The sequence below is a fragment of the Homo sapiens genome, chromosome 5 (assembly GCF_000001405.40).
Source record: "Homo sapiens chromosome 5, GRCh38.p14 Primary Assembly".
NCBI classification, from domain to species: Eukaryota; Metazoa; Chordata; class Mammalia; order Primates; family Hominidae; genus Homo; species Homo sapiens.
The window spans coordinates 23,801,039-23,823,854 of record NC_000005.10 but is presented as its reverse complement, the minus strand read 5'-3'; the positions used below and the strand labels follow the sequence as shown (position 1 = coordinate 23,823,854).

The window sequence follows — 22,816 nt, the reverse complement described above, 5'->3', positions numbered from 1 at the left end:
CCCACCCGAACATTGGCGCCTACCGTTTTCATTGGGGATTATTCACAAAGGCATGCAGTGCTCACGTGACTGAGCTCAGCTAAGTCCCAAAACTGCGGACATTTACCATAAATAACATTATTAGTGTAAACCATCTGTCATGGCCCAAAAACTCAAGTGTATGAAGACACACATACCAGGCAAGATACTCCAGGGACTTAGGGGTCATCTGCCAGGTGTTGGGCAAAGAGCCAATCTTAAAACCCGGGGAATGTGCATGATTTGAACAGAGTCTCCCTGAGCTCTTTTCGGAACAGCTGCCTCACTTTTTCCATCTTTTTGAATGCAGATTCTTTTTGGTGTTATTCTGTTTCTGTTGCAAGACTACATTTGGGTGTGTGTGAGGAAGATATCTTTTAGTTTAATATCTTAGTTCATTTTCTGTTGTTTGTAACAGAATACCTGACACTGGGTTATTTATTTAATAAGAAAGGTATTTCTTACAGGTGTGGAGTCTAAGAAGTCCAAGGTTGAGGAGCTGCATCTGATGAGAGCCTTCTTGCTGGTTGGGATCCTCTGCAGAGTCTTGAGTTGGGTAAGGGCATCACATAGTGAGAGGACTAAATGTGTTGGCTCAGTTCGCTCTTCCTCTTATAAAGCCACCAGCATCACTCCCATGATAACTGTTCAATGTGTTAACCCAATATTCCATTAATCTGTTAATTCACGAATGAATTAATCAATTTATGAGCACAGGGCTCTCATGACCCAACCATCTCTTAAAGGCCCACCTCTCAATACTGCCATATTAGAGATTACATTTTCAACAGAAGTTTTGGAGGGGATGAATATTAAAACCATAGCACTTCGCTTTACAGATCAGCCTTTTAAGGGAACTACATCTAGACCTGATGTGACTCATAAAGTCCTGTAATTTAAGCTTGATAAAATGATTGTGTAAGAATGTTGGGGCCCTTATCCTGGGACTCACCATATTGTGATAGCATTTTTTATTTCTCCCTATATTAGTTTGCTAGGGCTTCCGTGATAATATACCAGACCCTGCATGACTTAAATGACAAAAGTTTAAAATTTTTCTCACAGTTCTGTGGGTGAGAAATCTGAAATCAAGGTGTAGGCAGGTTTGGTTTTATTCTGAAACCTTTGTCTTTGGCTTATATACGGCTGTCTTCGCCCTTTGTCTCCACATGGTCATTCTTCTCTGTGTGTATGTGTGTGTCCTAACCTCCTCTTCTAAGGATACAGTTATATTGTATTAGGGCCTACCCCAAAGATTTCATTTAACTTTTATTACCTCTTTAAAAACGCTATCTCTAAATATAGTAATATGAGGTACTAGAGGTTAGGATTTCAATATATAAATTTTGGGAAATGCAATTCAGTCTATAACACTGTTTATATTTTTCTCCTATTCCAAGTACTCAGGCAGTGCTCTCACACATGGATCTGACTTGGGCATGTTGTTCACAAACACGTTGAAGGCAGAGGCTTGGGGATCATTTGAGTGATTAGACTTTTCCTGGTCTTGCATCACTACCATTTTATAAACACAAACCCAGGCTAGACTACTAGAAAAGGAACGATAGGTAGAACCGAATCCAGTAACCCTGAGTTGTCTCAGCTCACAACCAGTTGACTATCAGATATCTGATCTGGGTAGGGTAAAACAAGATAGGCAAAATCACCAGATGAGGCCCAGCCTAAATTACTGAGCAGCAGATTTACGGGATAAATAAATGTTTACTTGTGTGTTTGATGTGGCGTATGTGTGTGTATGTGTGTGTCCATTGTGACTAAGGTTGTGTGGAAAGAGACCACTGAAGAAAGGGCATACCAAATAAGAGAGACACTAGTAAACAAATCAGGCATTGAGATGTGACTCGGAAAGGCAGGCTATGAACCAGGTATAAATCAGGGCTGCACTATTGGCTAGATTATTTCTCCCATATTCACCAATGGTTTGAATATTTTTATTACTACACTTAAATAGAGGTGCTGGCTTTTTCTAAGGCCAACTGCTCTGCTTTTTCAGACAATTAAGTGTGTTAGTTATCACATGAGATAGGTGATTCAAATTAGTCTCCCAAAATAATTGATCACCATGCAAAGAAGTTTGATTTCAATTTAATTTTATCAATGTATTTACATGCACTTTTTTACTGTGTATAACCATAGCATAGTGACTAAAATAATGTTTGACACATTACGCATCTAGTAAAATTACAGATTTATCTTTGTATTTATTTCCAAGAAGCAAATGAACGATTTTCATGCGATATACAGTTTTAGTGACTAGACTGATGACAAGAAACCACTGTTCAATTAATTTTAGATTCCACGTCGTTTGTTGACATAATTATATTACAGGTTTATATAAAAACAGACTTTTAGGTATCATTATGAACCACACATCTGCCCCCTACAGAAAGACATTTTTTTCCATGGGACATAAACTCTTAGATATTTCAGTGAAAGCCACATTCTCCGACAGCCTTTTTTTTTTTTTTAATTTTTTCTCCATAGCTTAGGCTTACCATAGAATTTTTGTAAATGACTGCCTCCTCCTATACCAAACTAGTCCCCTAGAACTCTTCATCACTTTCTCAGATTCTATAGTAATGTACATTTTTAGCACTCCTTCCTGAGTGAGAGTAAAGGCCTCCACCAGCGTGGTTGATGAATGTGATGCCTTATTGGTTTGAAAACATGTCTTGTCCACTCATGAATCACTTCATAACCTTTATCAACTGCCAGCCACATGAAGTCTCTTGGAAGTGGGCTCCCTCTAGTGTTCCTATATAGTTAGCAAATCTTTTTCGTCTTGGAAGGACACTTTCAGATGACTCAGTAATCCAAATATAGTTTCTAAATTTTCCAAGACTCATCTGTTTTGGTTGGGGCCAGTGTTGATTAAACCCAATGTTCCTCTAATTGTCATGAGTACAGTTTTATGCACAAGAAGAACACCCAAACATTGGATGCGTCATGAAAATTTCAACAGAGCCCATTCTTTTACGAAGACAGCTCAATCTGGTTGCTGCATAGGACTCCCCATGAGTGGCCCATATGAGGATAATTACCAGTGATTTGGGCCATTTCTGCGCCCACTTTCTTCAAGGCTATTCAGGTCTTATCCTCTCTTTAAGACATTTCATTCACCTTCAGATTTGACAAAGTTGAAAGATTGAAGCTATGACAAACTGGGCAGGTGGCAAAAATTTGCTTCTCATCCCCTGCACATATCTGTCTTAGCAATGTGTCACTTAATTCATAGTGACATCGTGTGCATATACTCAGCTGCTCAGTAGCCTTTGCCATGTATGATTTAAAGGTAATATTTTTTTCTCCAGGTACCTGAAAAAAATACAACAACAACAATTAATATAATCCTAATATCATGAGCCAAATGGTAGCTCCAACCAGTCAACGATTATGTTAGAGTGTGCCCCATCACACCTTAAATCCTTAAATCCAGATCATTCAGGTGAAGTCTTTAGGTAGACACTTTAAGTATGCAGGAGACCTATTTTCTTTTACTGGAAAAAGAAGTAATTTAGGCAGCTTCGCTTTACATCACCCATTGTCTGCACCAAGCCTGAGAGAAGTTGTTTAGAGTATTGCTGGGGTCTGAGTGTTCCTGCCTCTCCTAAATTTATCTGTTGAAACCTAATTACCAATATGATGCCATTAGAAGGTGAGGCCATTGAGAGGTAATTAGCTCATGAGGCTGGAGCCCTCAAGAATGAGATGAGTGCTCTTAAAGGGGCTCCAGAAAGCCACGTTGCCCCTTTCAACATGTGGGAACACAACATAAAAATGTCATTTATAAACCAGAAAATGGGCCCTCACCAGATATTGAATCTGCCAGTGCCGTGGTCATGGTTTTCCCAGTCTCCAGAACTGTGAGAAATAAATTTCTATTGTTTGTAAGCCACCCAGTTTATGGTACATTTTGTTATAGCAGCATAAATGAACTCAGACAAGAATGACTGTATTTCTTTGAGAAAATCTTGTGTGTCTTCTTCACATTTGTCATAAGCTCCATCAGTTTCCATTTATTACCTCATTTAACTCGCCCTGACGAAATAGCCTGCTTTGGCAGTATTACTTACTCAGCAAACCGTAACAACATCGGTATGATCTCTCCTCTGCTTCATCCCCTGGAAAGTATCATAGGATTTGACAGGTAAAAATTGCACAACTGTCCTTCCGTTTGCTAATGTAGTCACAACTAACGCTATTTTAACTGCAAGGGAACACGTTATAAGTGACCCCAAGGTTCTTTTAAGAACGCACAAGCCAAATTCAATGGTATAGATTCATGTCTTTTGCAGTGACTTCTCCTACTGGCTGAGTGTAGCCACAATGCTTAAACATCAACTCAGTCAAAACAAAATAAAAGTTTTCAAGAAATATGGGAGGTAATAAAGTTGCATAATTCTATTAATGTCATCACGTATACCTATGTAGAAATTCCAAAAGCTTTCCAGTAGTGTTCTTTCTTTTCTTCTTTCACCTGCAACAGGAGAACACATTTGTACTGCAGCTTTCAAGCCTTTCTCACCTCCTGAATTAAAGAACACATGACTTAATTGTTTATTCAAACTTTCCATAAGATCACTGCATTGAGGGTGATGGGAATATACTATATTCATGTAATACTATGTTTCTTTGCCCATTTCTGTATGCTAGTATTAATAATATGTGTAGCTTCATAGGAAGAAATATATCCAGGTGGGCCAAAGTGCTAGATTGTTCTCTCTATGGAACCTTTAAATGTTGGCTATTTGTTCTCCTATAGGATCAGCAAAGCCTATAATAGAATAGTTATTTCCACAACTCCACTAAGAACCCTTGTTATAGGTTTAATGTATTCTACTTGCCAGTTATTCTCAGATTCACAGTGTTATCAAAATCTTGGAAGTTTTAAAAACAACATTAGAGATAATGATTTCACTCTTTCTACTTATTCTTAAATATCATACACTGCAATAATTTGTTCTGGAACAATGGATGAACTTTCGTTGTAATTATCCACCATTGGCAGAATGGCAGTGTTATAAATTGTTATTCCATGAGGTTAATCATTCACATATTCTGTGTGACACAAAAATAGCGTTGTATATCAAATATTAAACTAACAATTTTTTAAGCCAAAAACAAAACAGTGGCAGGGCTCTATAAAATGGTATGCATGCTAACTGGTCTCCTCAATGAGTTTATGTGGTGGTTTATATTACATCACCTATTTTGCAAATAAGAAAACTAAGGTCCAGAGGGATGCCTTACTCATGGTCACTAAACTAGAAATTTGTAAATTTTACATCTAAATCTAGGTAGTCTGACTCAATTGCCTGCTGGAATTGCATAATATGTCCTTCTAGTTTTAAATATGTAGGACAAATAAGCAATAATATTCAGCCATATGCGAGATAATTTTCCCCATACTTTGCTTTCAATTGTGGAACATTTCCCTTTGATATCTTCAATACAAATATTTTGATTAATATTCTTAAAATAATTATTCATATCTTTTAACAGTGCTTTAGTCAAATAAGATAATTGCAGTGTAACATACTGATTTTTGATACGATCCTTTTAAGGAAAATAATGTAAAAAAGGAACAACCCAACTCACTTTAAACCTGAGATTTGATGAATAAAAATATGAAATGTTTCTGATGACTACTAAAGATTCATGATTAGAGTAATAGTAATAAACATATTAACCTTTTAACAATTTGATTGAATTATATTTTCCAATCTGAAATATCTAAGATGTGTAGGGAAAATAAAGAGGGAGAAAACAAACTGCTAGCCTTGGAATTTTCTGGGCTGATTTATTTGTTTCACTTCTACAATGATTTAGAAACAACTGTGCAAGGTTTCGTGTTCTGTAGATATGGTTTATGTCAGATGAATAAGCATACATTTTGGAGTTGGCATGATGGCTACTTTAATAAGCCTTCTCAACGACAGTATTTTATATCCTTGGATGGAGTAAAACACTGTGAGATACTATTTTATGTGGCATACTAAAACCTATAAGAAGGCTATATCATTAGAGAATGTAATACTGACTGAGGAAACACAGTAAAATCAATTTGTGGTGGCTCTGAAAATTTGCCACTTATGTCTTTGTATATTGATTGACCGCTCTGGCTATTGGCTCTGTGGACCCACCACAATCCACACACTACTCCTGGAGATGCCGCTTAGGGAAAGTAATATGTCTTGCTGGGACTCTTGGGATTAAGATATACAAATTATAGGAAATATTTAGATGACAATAATAACATGAGAAGAGTATTAAGAAGAAGCAGCATATTTTTAAAACTCAACTTATTCCCTATAAGTATATACTTATCTTGAGTTCAAAAATAATTTTTAAAAATCATGGGAGATGAGGCCTTTGCTTTCATGAAGTTCAGTGATGTTTTTTTATTGAGGATGAAAGACTGAAGCATCCTTATTTGCACCATTAAGAATTCTAAATAAAATAGAAAACTTATTCCTATATAATAAATTCCTAATCAATGGGGTAAAGAGTTTTTACAAATTGACACTTTCCCTATCTGTTACAAAAGACAGTAGACAATACCCAGAAACTTGCTTCCTAAATTAAATATTTACTGTATGATGTTAGGGTGTGTAAAATTGAATGTTTCCTATATTGATCACATAAGTAACAGCAATTGTGTCTCATAAGCATAGATGGCTGGATCATTGCATCTCAGAATCACTGTCAGTAAACATTATTTTCTTTGTTTCCAGCACCTACATGCAGCCTGGCAGGACCCAGATTCCTCCCAGTGATCTTACCCTGAGCCCCTGAGCAGAGACAATACATTATACTCAGATCACCTTTCATCTGTCTCCCGTAAAGCCTAGATAATGAGACTAGTGTTTGCAAATGTTTATACCAGGCAGTTCTCTTGAGCCTTGGGAAATCATGCATCCTTTGTAAAATGAAAATAGAACCAAAATTAAGTCAAAATAGGAAAACATCAAACCATTTCCTCTATCCATATATTGCTGCACTGAAATTTCTCCCATCCTTAGTCTCCTTTTTGTCTTGAAATCATATTAAAATCTCTGCCTAGTGATAAGGTAAGAAAGAGGAAGGCCTTGGTTTCTCAAAATGTGACAGAATGAAAAGTAGGAAACATGATCGACAAAAACTATAGATTAATTTAGTAAACTAATAATAGTTTCATTATTTAGGACAAAAAATGAGGTTCACCTTTGAAATTAAAACATCTTAATGCCATTAATAATTGTGCTAATTTTATTTAGTTTATTTTGTACAGGTAGTTATTTTATATATTTTAAGCATCAAATGAAAATACAAAGTATATGTTGGAATTGTCCAAATACTTCTGCTCCCACCCACTCTATTGTCCATTTACTCTGTAGATAACTTCCAACTTTATTTATTGTTGTGTTTTTGAATGTAGATTTAGATCTACATTATGAGTGAAGCATATATAAATATTTATATAATTTTTAATATTTTCATCTTAAATATAATTAAAAATATAATGGGGTATATAGCACACAGGTTTTATCATGTATAGGGCCATCAAAGTAAGAAGGTCATGCTGCCACCAGGCTTAATAAGCAGAGTGTTTTAAAGGTACTGACAGGGTTAAGGAGAACTATACAGGGTGCAAAAGTACCTAAATTGAGAAACATTATGAAGCTGTTACCACTGCTACGTCTGAAAGGCCAAGGGGAAGAATAGTTTTTAGAACCCAGAAAAGGCTGTAGATATTAAAGTTATAGTCTTTCACAGGAACTTAGGGACTGTAAAATGTGGACTCAGAAAAAAGGGAACTGTTCTAAATGCTGTTTTCCTGAGTACTGGCAGAATTTTGCCTTGGGTTGTGTTCTGCTGTGACAGAGCAGCGCTGAGTTCTAAAGCAAAGCCCCACACTCACTTTACTCTCCCTCCCCCAAGCACACAGATTCTCTCCCCACCAGGCACTGACACAGTGTAGGAGAGAAGCAATGTTGGCAAAGAGACTGTCTTTCCCACACTCTTCATTGCCTCTTTCCTTGATATTATGTTAAAATCAGGTAATATGATCCCTCACCTGGTTTTTTTGTTCTGCTCAACGTGCTTTCTTGGGTGGAGAGTTGTTTAATTTGGCGTTCTGTTGGGGTACAATCTCCAGTGGGTTCTATTCAGCCATCTTGGTCTGTCTCCCTGCTCTGTACTTTTCTATGAGCAACTGCAATATTTCAATTTCTTTCCTTTTTTCTTTTTTCAGTCCAGGAGTGAAAGTTTATTAAAAAGCTTTAAAGCAGTAAGGAAAATAAGGAAAAGAAAGGAAGGAAAGTACACTTTGAAGAGGGCCAAGTGGGTGACTTGAGAGACCAAGTGCACCCCAATTTCCTTGACTGTTTAAATGGATTTGAATCCATTTAATGTATTCATTAAATCCATTTTAATGTATTCAAATCAAAATGTTTTAAATAATTAGAATCCCCAATTTGCAGCACATATGTGTCTTGGTGGACCAGTAACCTGGAAGTTTGTCTGGATTATATTAAACGGGACTTCAGCTGCAAAAGGACAGGACTGCCTCCTGGAACTTAACAAGGTTGAAGATTCCACTAGTGACTGCATGTTTTGGTCTGTGTGTCATTCTCCCTGACTGCTAGAACATGAACTCACTTATTAACTACAGGAATTATTTGTCTCCAATACTCATGAAGTAAATGTCCATGAGATGGAGGAAATTACCTTGACTTGTTCTTGACTGAAGTCAGCATGTAGTGAAAAAGCCCTGAGCACCACATCTAATATCACATGCTTTCTAATTTCTGGGCTCGTGGGGCACAGTGTTAGACAATACTCTGATGGAGCCACAGATTAAGGACTTCCTACCAGGTTGTTGGTGCTGGAAAATAATATACCTTGTTGGTACTTCTTGTCCCAGAACCTGCCCAGCTCTCCTGAAATAGCTTGGATTTGTAATCTCTGTAACAGACTTTCAAATTAGTAAAAAATAAAGAATAATTTCTTATTTTACATTTTTTTGAAGGAACAAAATAGGATTTTTTAAAAAAGTATACCTCTTGCCAAAAATGATTATGGTGTGTTCAAATAGAAGCTTATTTAATATCACTGTAATAATCTATAAAGTAGAAATTCTTATTAGGTCCATTTTACAAAGGAGGAAATTGAAGTAAAGGAAATTTAAGGAACTTACCAAGACAATAGAATGAGGAAACTATCTCGGGCACTCTGGTATCAGGGTCTATGCTCATAGAGTCTAAACTGTACTGTCGTTTTTTTTTAACCAACAAGCAAAGGGTAGAAATTTGTTTAAGAAGAGCTGATGAAATATGGATGCTTCAATAGACAGAGGAGAAGAAACATATACTAGACATTTCTGGCCAATAACACAGACCAATCTCACCCCAAGGCTTATAAGCATTGTACACATGGCAGAAAATTTGCAATTTATCTATTTTATCTTAGTAATATTTATCATTATCCTCTCATCTTGCCTTCCTATTAGAGTCTTTCACAAATATTTTTAATCCAAGCGCCCAACCAGGTTTCTCCTTTCCCAACTCGAATTGATAGTCCAATTAAGACACTTTTGTTCTTATTGTATGCATGAGCCTTTATCAACTTTTAGAATAAGTAAACTGTGTGTTATCAAAAAAGAGCTACACTGAACAGAGGTTGAATGAGACATTAGCATGGAATTTGTTCTCTCTCATGTACCCCATAACAAAGATGTATAGTAGCCCTAAAGCTGACTTCACATAGGCATATGTTAATAATTTACCATCTGATCTATTTGTACTTTCTTCTTCATTCTTCATTATTACTGAGAGTTAAATGATTTCGCTGAAAAAGTTTTAGAGTTGACAAGTTAAGTAAATGATATATTACATGAAACTTTCTAATAGCTCAGATGATCTGCTAAATGTGCAAACACACAGGGTTTCCTTGACTAGCTATTAATCCTACTCAATCTATCAAAATTACATATTTAGTATTCTGTTCTGATATACTGTCTCTTCCCTAACAAGGAGATTAAAGATTTACCTTATGCTTTCCATTGAATAATGTCATAGTTATAAATGAGAAGAATATTCCTGCCTTCTGGATTCTTACTTCCATAGTAAGATAATTTCAAAAACATAAAAATATGTTGATTATATATATAAAAAATCTTTCTTTAGAAATGTAAAAAGATCTTATCAGTGAATATAGTCATTCCTTATTTTTTAATCTCAAACTTTTAAGAAATCATTCTTCACTAACAAATGTTTAAATAATAGTATCAGGGATATTTTAAATTTAAATTTAAATGTTAGAGACAGGCTAGGTGTAGTGGCTTGTACCTGTAATCCAAGCACTTTTGGAGGCCCACACTGGAGGATTGCTTGAGGCCAGGAGTTCAAGGTTGCAGTGAGCTGTGATTGTACCACTGTAATCCAATCCAGCCCAAATGATAGAGTGAGGCTCTGTCTCAAAAAATAAAATAAAATGAAACTTTAGAAATGGCAGAGATATAATGTAGAGATATTATAATTATGAGCTATTATGAAATATTTTATCCCATCATCTAAAATATGTATAACTTGTATATCAGTTTCCAAATACACTTTAAAAATCATTTTAAATATCATAATATTATTCAGTAAATGAGTATTCTCATCTTCATTAATTAACATGAAATACCAATCACTGTGAACAGAGACCAAATTTATCATTCTAATGGGAAATCAACAATCTATAAAATACACAGTGAGCAGACACATTACAGGAAAGTGAATTTTAAAAAGAGCTTACAAAATTGAGATATTCACGGAATGAAGAACACTCAAATTGTCTGTTTTCTTTTTATTACTATTTTCAGTTACAAATGGGTAGATAGGTGTGACATAGCTTCAAATAGATAGAAATTTAGTTTACAAGCCAAAAAAAGAAGTGAGCCCTCTTGTGGACATAGTCATAAATTGAATATGAGACCAGTTTCTCTCGTGTGTGTGTGTGTGTGTGTGTGTGTGTGTGTGTGTGTGTGTGTGTGTTTTCTCCAACCACTTTCAGCTGAATGGATGATAGCAAAGGAATAGCAAGTTAGTTGAATTTAATCAGGATTAAAGCTTTTCCAAGTAAGAGCAAAAAAAAGCAACTCAGCAGCACAGGAGTTGACAGAATATTATAATAAAAGGAGAGTCTTATGGTTTTCATGAAAATCAAACTTTGAAAGAATATAAATCATCACATAAGTGATAGGAAGTCGAAAAATAGAAAAATATTTTGATGTTCAATGATTAGAACTCCTGTTCATAGCAAAGAGTTATTGGAGTTTGGGTATTATAGGAACAGATCTATAAAAAGAAGTTGAAAGCCAGAGAGGGGAAAGACTGCATGTGCTCACCTATCAAATGTGAAGCCTTCACTGGACAACCAATATGAAATTAAAACTCTTTCTCAGAAATCTTTATTCTTTCCACTGCCTTATTTTTTATATAGCATTTATTATATTTTAATATGATAAATAATATTTATTTTCATAAATATCTCTATCCTTTCACCCCCTAAAAATAAAAGCAGAGATTTTTGTTTTATTCCCCCTTCAATGTTTTATCTCTAGTTCCCAGAAAGTTTCTAAAAATTTAATATGGTGCTATAATTACTATATCTGTCCTCATTACGACCTCGTAGAAACATTGTCTATATTACATTCTAAAACTTAAGGAGAAGCAACAAGCAGAGAAGCTGTGATTAGAATTGTTATGCTTATTAAACTGAGGAGATAACGTAAATTGATTCCTTTCTCTAACTACTGCTAATCAGGCACTACTTCTCTGGAGTTACGGCAATAGTTGAGACTAAATAAAACAAAGGGACAATTGGGACTAACCTTAACAACCTTGGAGATAGTAAAATTCCTTTGAAGGTTGAAAAGACCATTTTTTGTCATTGGAGATGTTTACTAATTATATTTACAAATCCTTCATCAAGACTTCTTTCTTAGGAAGCCCCCTTCAGAAGAGAAATTCTCTAAGTAAGGACAGTGAAATAATAAATATAATTATTTTTCTGAGCATTTATTCTTAGTTTTATTAGATTGTCTTTATTTTCATTTAGTAGGAATCAAATTATTACCTCATAAAAGAGGACAATGGTATTATTACTGTTCTAATTTTGTACTGTTTGTAGAATTATATCCTGTTATCAGACAACGAATATTAGTATTTACAAAGTCAGGAACAAACATTTTTAAATGGGGTCAGAGGAAGGGAGAAAATACTAAGCAACAGAGACAACTCTATGTTATCCTGACTTCCTTGTGTTTTAAGGGAAAAATAAACAGCACAGACTTGGATTACTGTGATTAGTTTTCAATGCTCAAAGAGTGCAAATAAAATTCAATAATCAGATTCACATTACATTATCAGAATAGTTAGAATCTCACGGTATGCAGGGCTCAATCACCTTAAAAGTAAGATTGTCAATATCGTTAGTTAAAAAACTAATTTTCTTCTACTTCTTATTTGTAGGCATTAAAAACTGTATCACAGACACATGAATATTGTGTGAGTATTTCAAAGTAAATTTGGATTAAAATTCATCAAATTCATGACATACATGGAGTTCCCTGAAGCATTATTTCATATTTCCGGATTTTCAAAGTGACTACATATTCAAGCATGTATATATACAAGCATGTAAGTTACCTAGAGTTTTTGCATCATACTGAAGATGCATTAGCAGAGGAATTTAATAAAATATGCACAGCAATGCTTAAATTATCTTAAGCACAAGCAAATATTATCTTCAAATCTTTGTCATAAGTGTTTTATATACATACGCAAATAAGGTAGAAAACTATTTTAATATGTGAACTATTTACTAGAAAAGATATCATTTGTATATTTAAATAGTATATATTAGCAGCTCCTATGGATTTATTGTGATTTACAGTGGGGAGCCTGTAGACGGTATCTTAAGGATGTTTGGATATGTTTTTTTTTTTCTCCTCCACATTTAAATTTTAAAACTTCAATAACTTTTGCATAATTTTATACTGTTGTTGCATGTATTAATATTAATATTTGATTGTTAAAGAGAGCCATGTTGTTGTCATCATGGGTAGCTTAAACAATTGAAATTTATTTTCTCACAATTTTGGAGGCTGGAAATCCGATCTTGCAGTGCCATTTCTGTGAGGGCTGTCTTTCCAGCTTGTATATGTCCCCCTTCTTGTTACATCCTTATATGGCCTTTTCACAATCTTCGCATGGATAGAACAAGCCAGCTCTCTGATGTCTCTTCTTTAAAGGACACTAATTCCATTGGATCTGGATTTATGCTCCTCACCCCCATCTCCTCCTATAACCTCATTTAATCTTAATTATTTCCTTAGAGGCCTCATCTCCAAGTATTACCACACTGAGGGTCAAGACTTCAACATATGGTGGAGAGCAGGAGGTGAGGACACAAACATTCAGTCTATATTAATGCCAGAGCATATAATTTTGATTATGATTATGATACTAGTTACATAGGAGTCATGTTGTAAAAGCTCAGATTATATGTGGAACATGCACGAGATGGTTACTGTATAGGTTTCTAGGCAATTTCATTGAAGTTGTGGTTATGATGATGAACTGCCATTTAAATACTTCTATGGTCACTGAAAATACATATTATATATTATATATAGTATGATTGACTGCATTTTCTATTTGAATAATTACTACAGCCACATAAATATCTATTTGTTATGTTTAAGTAATATCAGTATATAATCGTCTTTCAGCATTAAAAATAATCGAAATTATATTTATCTTTTAACTCCAAAATTTAAACTTTTTCTGTTTATGTACCAATTTAAAATGATATTTAAACTTTCAGATTACTAAACATAGTACATATTTCTACTATAGAAATGTATATGTCCTTATGTTTAGACATAACCTTGTTTTATTATGAGACAGTACTACTAAGGTCGTATCAGTTCTTTGGATTTAAGGCCAGTTACCTTTATGTCAGCAAGGTTTCCAAGCCTCTAGGTCCCTATCTGTCCTCCTGACGTCTGTCTGGAGAGAGTTCATGTCTTTCTGTCTGTCCCCTGTTTTTTCTTCACTTCATGTGTTACGATGCTGTTCTCTAGCTATTTGGTCATCACCTATGAGTTTTCTAATAGATGTTTTTGGTGATACTGTTTGCTAAAACTGTGCTAATAAATGTGTTAGACAGTTAAGATATAGATACTTTACAAGCATGATGGAGAAATTATTTTTAAAGAAATTGCTGTTTAGAGAAGATTGACCCTATTTCAATGGCAACAGATAGCTCAAGAATTAGGTGAGGGTGATCACCTGGGTCAGTAAGAAAGAGGTCAGTTACTCATTTTTTCAAAAACCCCTGCCTTTTTCATTGAACTATGGGAGAAAACTGACATTAAAAAGAAAGAAATAAATACAAGAAAAACTAAGAAGGGACTGTGGATCTAGCGAAACAAAAAAATCGCTTCCGTTTTTGGTGGGTGGTGTTGGATAGATGGGATGGTTATCATCGCTTATAGGAGACAAAGGAAGTAGGCAGATTTTGCCACCTGAAAGAAGACAAATTGAAAAACTAAAAATTGGCTGGGTGTGGTGGTTCATTGCTGTAATCACAGAAATTTGGGAGGCAGAGGTGAGTGGATCACTTGAGGCTGGAAGTTCAAGACCAGCCTGGGCAACATGGTGAAATGCTGTCTCTACTAAAAATACAAAAATTAGCTGGGTGTGGTGGTACATGCCCATAATCCAAGCTACTTTGGAGACTGAGGCATGAGAATCACTTGAACCCAAGAGGCAGAGGTTACAGTGAGCTGAGATTGCACCACTGCACTCCAGCCTGGGCAACAGAGTGAGACCCAGTCTCAAATAAATAAATAATAAACATAAATAGATAAAAATAAATAAAAACATGTTCCTCTGGTAAAAGCATTAGAGAAATTACTTTAAAAAAAGGTTGTTTTATATACTTGTTTAGCAAAATTAAGCTAATTTTTGTATCGTTATTTTAGATAAAAACTGTACTGTGCCACTAGCTAGACTAATAAAGAATAAGAGAGAGAAGAATTAAATAGACACAATAAAAACTGATAAGGGGCATATCACCACTGATCCCACAGAAATACAAACTACCATCAGAGAATACTATAAACACCTCTACGCAAATAAACTATCTAATCTAGAAGAAATGGATAAATTACTGGACGCATACATTCTACCAAGACTAAACCAGAAAGAAGTTGAAACCCTGAATAGACCAATAACAAGCTCTGAAATGGAAGCAGTGATTCATAGCTTGCCAACCACCCCCCCCCCCAAAAAAAAAACTACCACAACAACCCAGGACCAGACGAATTCACAGCTGAATTTTACCACAAATACAAAGAGGAGCTGGTACCATTCCTTCTGAAACTGTTCCAAACAATTGAAAAGGAAGGACTTCTCCCTAACTCATTTTTTGAAGCTAGCATTATCCTGATACTACAACCAGGAAGAGACACAACAACAACAAAAACCTTCAGGCCAATATCCCTGAGGAACATCGATGAGAAAATCCTCAACAAAATACTGGCAAACAATTCAGCAGCACATCAAAAAAACCTTATCTACCACGATCAAGTCGGCTTCATCCCTGGGATGCAAGGATGCTTCAACATATGCAAACCAATAAACGTAATCCATCACATAAACAGAATCAAAGACAAAAACCCCATGATTATCTCAATAGATGCAGAAAAGGTCTTTGATAAAGTTTAACATCATGGTTTAAGTTAAATGATTTAACATCATTTAACTTCACGTTAAAAACCCTCAATAAAATAGGTAATGATAGAATATATCTCAAAATAACAAAATCTATGAAAACCAACAGCCAATATCATACTGAATGGGCAAAAGCTGGAAGCATTCCCTTTGAAAACCAGTACAAGACAAGGATGCCCTCTCTCACCACTCTTATTCAACATAGTATTGTAATTGTGACTTCAAAAGGTCATCCACTGTTCTACCAATCCAGCTGCTCAGCTGCTTCAGGATAATACGGAACATGGTAAGACCAGTGAATTCCATGAGCATAAGCCCACTGCCACACTTCTTTAGTCATAAAGTGAGTGGCTTGGACAGAGGCAATGCTGTGTGGAATACCATGATGGTGGATAAAGCATTCCGTGAGTCTATGAATGGTAGTCATGGCAGAAGCATTGTGTACAGGTTAGGCAAATCCGTATCCAGAGTAATCGTTTATGCCTGTGAGGACAAACCTCTGCCCTTTCCCTGATGAAAGAGATCCAATATAATCAACCTGCCACCAGGTAGCTAGCTGATCACCCCAAGGAATGGTGCCATATCGAGGGCTCAGTGTTGGTCTCTGCTGCTGGCAAATTGGGCACTCAGCAGTAGACGTAGCCAGGTCAGCCTTGTTGAGTGGAAGTCCATGTTCCTGAGCCCATGCATAACCTCCATCCCTGCCACTATGGCTACTTTCTTCAAGGGCCTATTGGGTGATGATGGGGTGGCTGGGAAAAGAGGCTGAGTGGTGTCCACAGCACGGGTCATCGTATCCACTTAATTATTCAAACCCTCCTCCCCTGAGGTCACTCATTGGTGAGTACTCACATGGGATACAAATATCTTCACAGTTTTTGACCACTCAGAGAGGCTCATCCACCTACCTCTTCTCCAAATTTCTTTGTCACCAAATTTCTAATCATGTTTCTTCCAAGAACCTGACCATTAAGCCAAACCATTGGCTACAGCCCATAAATCAACATGTAATCGCACATCTGGTCATTTCTACTTCCATGCAAAGTGCACAACCAGGTGCACTGCTTGAAGTTCTGCCCACTGGGAAGATTTCCCTTCACCGCATCCTTCAGGGATGTCCTACCTTGGGGCTGTGGTGCTGCAGCTATCCACTTTTGGGTGGTGCCTGCATATCGTGCAGAACCATCTGTGAACCAGGCCCTAGTCTTTTCTTCCCCTGTCAACTGATTATAGGGAACTCCTCATGAGACCCTCAGTGCAGGATGAGGGAGAGAAGGCAGGGTGACAGGAGTGGAGACCATGGGCATTTGAGCCACTTCCTCATGTAACTTACTTGTGTCTTCAGGACCTACTCGAACCTGATCATATATATAGCCACTTCCATTTGATGATGGAATGCTGCTGTGCATGACCCACTTTATGGTTAGATGGGTCAAAAAGCACCCAGTTCATGATAGGCAGTTCAGGTCGTATGGTGACTTGATGACCCATAGTCAAATGTTCAGTTTCCACCGAAGCCCAGTAATAGGCCAACAGCCATCTCTCAAAAGGAGGGTAGTTATCTGCAGAAGATGGCAGAGCCTTGTTCCAAAATCCTAGAGGCCTCTGCTGTGACTAACTTATGGGGGCCTGTCAGAAGCTCCAAGCAGCATCCGTATCTGCCACTGACACCTCAAGCACCATTGTATTTGCTGAGTCATATTACCCAAGTGGCAGAGCAGCTTGCACAGCAGCCTGGACCTGTTGCAGAGCCTTCTCCTTTTCTGGACCCCACTCAAAACTGGCAGCCTTTTGGGTCACTTGATAAATGAGTGGGAGTAACACACCCAAATGCAGAATGTGTTGCCTCCAAAATCCAATAGGCCCACTAGGCGTTGTGCCTTTTTCTTGCTTGTAGGAGGGGCCAAAATGCAGCAACTTTTTCTTCACCTTAGAAGGAATATCTCAAGAGGGCCCACACCACTGGACCATTGGAAATTTTACTAAAGTAGAAGGTCCCTGAATTTCAGTGAGATTTATTTCCCATCCTCTGGCACACAAATGTCTCACCAATAAGTCCAGTGTGTTTGCTACTTCTTGCTCACTGTATCCAATCAGCATAATGTCATTAATGTAATGGACCAGAGTGATATGTTGTGGAAACAAAAAGCAATCAAGTTCTCTCCAAATAAGATTATGACCCAAAGCTGGAGAGTTGATATACCTCTGAGGTAAAGGTATACCCCTCAGGGGTAAAGGCATATTGCTGGGCTTGCCAGCTAAAGGCAAATTGCTTCTGGTAGGCCTTATGGACAGCTAACCAGGCAGACAAAGTATTAGAAACTTTTTTAACTCCCTGAGCTGCATCATTAAAAGCAGAGTACCTACTTAGTGGGTTCAAATCAATAAATTCAGCCTGACCCAACTCTATGTTCCTTCCACCATTATCCCATAACCTTAATATCCATTCTGATGCCTGTTCTCCAGGTTTCTGTTTACATAAATTAACAGTTCTTTTCAAGTGTAGCATGCAACCTCACCTCAAGGGACCTGCCAGGACTTTAGTTAGATAACTAGAAGCAAACAGGGGTTTTGGGGGTGGTTCCTGGGGAGAATCAACATTATTTTGCCTGGTAACTGCCCCAGGGAAGGCCCTCACTGTTGCCTCAGGCAGCACAGGGTTTATCTCCTCAGACAAAGGTGTAAAGGCTGATGGCAGCATGGGTCTAGGAGGGGATGTTGCCACTACAGGGGACGGTGAAGCTGTTCCTTCAGGCAAATAAGGTTCATCAGAGTTTACAAACTCAGTGGCCCCAGTTTCATCAGGGTCTTCCCATACTTCCCCATTCCAAGTTGCAGGGTCACATTCTTTTCCAGTAATGCCCTCCTTTTAACAGTAGACACCTGGTGAGGCTGTGCATGCACCTTTCATTGCAGGTCAGCCCCTCATGTGTTAAGAGCTTGTGTCTCTTTTTCCAAAGTTTCAGCTCTTTGTCTACAGGAGATAAAACTCTCACTCAGTGCAGTCTTAGCAGTTTTAAGGCTCAGTATCTGCTTCTGAAGCCGGGAGACAGAATCCCTGAGTTCATCATTTTCTTTAATCACTTTGTCCACTGAACTTAGGAGCAAGCTACCAGTTTCATTATGTTCCTTGATTCTCCACATGTGGTCAAAGGTATTATGGATAGAGTAACTAAACTCCTTGTCTCTCACAAGTGGTGAATCAGGAGTGTCAAATGTGTTTATTTTGCATAACTCTGTAAACACTTTATGCCAAGGACTATCAGTGTTCTCCATACTATTAGGTAGAGTCCTCAGCATTTTGGGGTCTAATAATATTAAGAAGCCAACTCCAGAAACCCCAAAACCAAAAAAAGAACTCCATCCTTAATATTCTGTTCCTCTAGAACCACTCCTTATACCAAAATCTGTATTAGCCAGGGACTATGTATGTGTATGTGTGTATATATATGTCTATATATATATACACACACATACACATACATATACATATATGTATGTCTGTATATATATATAAAATATAAATATATATGAGTTTATTAATTATTAACTTACATGATCACAAGATCCCACAACATGCTGTCTGCGTGCTTGAGGAGCAAGGAGAGCCAGCCAGAGTCTCAAAACTGAAGAACTTGACGTCTGATGTTTGAGGGCAGGAAGCATCCAGCACAGGAGAAAGATGTAGGCTGAGAGGCTAGGCCCATCTCTCCTTTTCACGTTTTTCTGCCTGCTTTATATTTGCTGGCAGCTGATTAGATGGTGCACACCCAGTTAAGGGTGGCTCTATCTTTCCCAGCCCACTGACTCAAATGTTAATCTGCTTTGGCAACACCATCACAGATGCACCCAGAATTAATACTTTCTATACTTCAATCCAATCAAGTTGACACTCAGTAGCAACCATCACATATGATTAAAAAAAAACTTTCAAACAAATAGAAAAGTAAAATGTGTCATTTCTCTGAAAACTATCATAAAAATTGATTATAAAAGTAATAAAATTAAAAAAACAAGATTAGAAATGAGTCTTTAAGCACATAAATATGAAATGCTAATTGTATTTTGTCTCTATAAATGTAGTCATATACTAAATATAAGCAAATATTTTATATATAATCATAAATCTTTAATCTGAAGTTATGAATTCAATTATTATATAATTCACATGACAGGGTAATTAAATTTAAGATATATTCATTTTCTTATCAAACATTTGGGACAAAGGAATTTACCTTGAGCTCTTAACATGATCATATATGATCCCATTTTGTTTATGATGGCAAAAACTAGTGCTACCAAAATGAAGAACCTGTTTTTTGCTATCAAATTAGCTCAGAAGCAAGTAAACTAAAAAAAAAAAAAAAAAAAAAAAAAAAATACATTTACAGAAAAGTCAGTAATTAAAGCAATATTAAAAATAAAAGTCTAGAGTAAAATTTAAGGTAACTTTATTTGTGTAAAAATGGTAAAGACACACAGAATGTTATAATTTGTATTTATAAATTAGTCTAAAATTAAACATTATCTTGAATCTTTACATTTTTACTCTAATCTTGTATTTATTTTTTATTCAGAAAAGCAATAACTAGTACTACATATGACTTATTTCTTTATTTTATATATTTCAGATGTTATTTTTATATATTTTTACTTAGAGATACATATCATAAAATGTTTAAAAAGTAAAGTACTTGAATTAGAGACCATATTATAAAAGTAAATTGACATTTTGGAAACAAGTAATTGATATGAATAATACAAGATTTTTGTTCTATGATATAGTGAATAATTTAATAAATTTTAATTTATATTATTTACATGTGCCACTTAGACACTTTTACTTGAATATTTTATTTCTATTATTCAGCTGTTAATAAATTAAGTTCTTGTAAAGCCAGTGGTTAATCCAATAGTTTCTGGAACATAGTAAAAAGTCAATAATTCCATTGTTTTTTGATGTCAAGCAGAAGCTGCCTTCTTTTCCCTTGTAAAATTTTGTTCTTCATAGTAAAAATACTGAATTAGTGCCAGCACATTCTCAGCTTAGTTTGCAAAGAGGTTTGGCATTACAACTAATTATGGACAGTGAGTCCTGTGGGAATGATATGCATAGATTATAGGCACCACCTTAAGAAGAAGATTGCCCTTCACATCTTCAGTTCTGCAGGCTAGAAGGCAGAGATATTGAGCCACTTGGTGATGCATACTAGGGATACAACTTAGGGAGTGTTTCACAAGCTAGAAATATTGAAAGAACCTAGATGTCTTTGTGGAGCAGAGTTTTCTACTCACTCTGGACTAAAAATTATCCTCTGTGCCATTACATAAAAATAAAGAAATGGCTGTCCTGTGTTGGAACTCTTTGTTACAGAGGCTTAACTTATACTCCATGAATATATAAAATTGATAATTGGAAGCGTGTGCTATTATAACAAAAAAGTCTAAAATACACATTGTTGGCTTAGCAGTTGGCATAGAGGCAGTATACATAGTGCAAAATAGAAAGTTGGTCATCTTCATCTTGGCAATTACAGGTGTTAAGACTGTCACCTGTGATAACTTAGAACACAGAACATGGGCTTATTGAACTTGTAGTTCTGTAAAAGTGATTAGAAAAACTACAATTACTGGTACTCCTTGATGCTTCTAGCAGAGTGATACAAGAGACTGATTGATTCTAGCAAAAATCCGAATTTGCTAGTAGAAATGGAAGGGAATTCCACACCTCTCTGAGGAAATTTCTGTGATTATGGCCTGCAATTTAAATTGGTTGAACTTTTGGTAATGTTGGTCCTCAAAGTTGGAAAAATCAAGGGCTTCTGGAGCCCAAACAGCAGGAGATAGGATTGTCATTGAGTCTTTTTTCAAGACCCTACAGTTAAGTGAAAGACAGTGAGAGCCAGCTCAACTCCAAAGAAGAGATGAATGGTACGGCTCTCCCCAATTCACTCCATGCCTGCTATTTCAGCTGATCTGTCTTAGGAATTGTGACCAGATGTGATCAGCTGCTGTTAATATCGTGGCAAGCAAATAGACCAAAATCCTCTGAGGATATCTGTATCCCCAAAGATACATAAACTTCAGTCTATAAACTTCATTGCCCACTTTAGATGGGGCCAAAGAGGATAGTGTAGTAGAATGGTTTTTCTTCATTGGAAATCCAGGGGTCATGGAGGATAACACACAAGAGAATTTCAAAGGGAGAATTAAGAGTTGCCCAATGTGCTAATCATGAAAATTTCTCCATAAAGAGAAGGGAGTTTCTATAATTTCTGTAAAGTAATTCATAACTACTATGAAATACTGACTGCAGTGTGCTTTCCATTCTTCACATTTTTTTCTTTTTGTAATTATCCTTCCTACTTCACCAATTTATATTGGGTAGAGCAAACTATTTTTAGTGTAACAATCACCAGGAAATAAAAAGACATATCATCTTGATTTGCTAAAAAGTATAGGGCCTACCCCAAGCACTTGGATGATGAGATGGATTCAGTAAGTAGTAGTTTATTTAGAAAGTTATTGACAATGACATACATAGAAATGTCAGTATACCAGGGTAAACATTTTTAACTGCTTCCTAATTTTTTTGCCTGCTGTTTTTGTTTTGTTTCCTTTTGTTTTTAGAAATTGTATTAGTGCACTTTCACGCTGTTGATAAAGACATACCTGAGACTGGGCAATTTACAAAAGAAAGAGGTTTAATTGGACTTACAGTTCTACATGGCTGGGGAAGCCTCACAATCATGGCAGAAGGCAAAAAGGAGCAAGTCCTGTCTTACATGGATAGCAGCAGGCAAAGAGAGAATGAGGAAGACTCAAAAACAGAAATCCCTGATAAAACCATCAGATCTCATGAGACATATTCACTACCATGAGAACAGCATGGGGGAAACCACCCCAATGATCCAATTATCTCCTACCAGGTTCCTCCTACAAAATGTGGGAATTATAGTAGTACAATTCAAGATGAGATTTAGATGGGGACATAGAGCCAAACCATATCA

The 22,816-nt window shown here is 36.3% G+C and overlaps 1 long non-coding RNA gene across 1 annotated transcript in view; it reads left to right on the top strand.

Moving 5' to 3' along the window:
- Window positions 1-22,816, top strand: part of LOC107986377 (uncharacterized) — a 57,078-nt gene that overhangs the window by 5,430 nt on the left and 28,832 nt on the right. The window contains exons 2-4 of the long non-coding RNA XR_001742503.2: window positions 486-574; window positions 12,537-12,572; window positions 13,403-13,467. This is a non-coding gene — a long non-coding RNA (uncharacterized LOC107986377). The remainder of the gene's footprint in view (window positions 1-485; window positions 575-12,536; window positions 12,573-13,402; window positions 13,468-22,816) is intronic.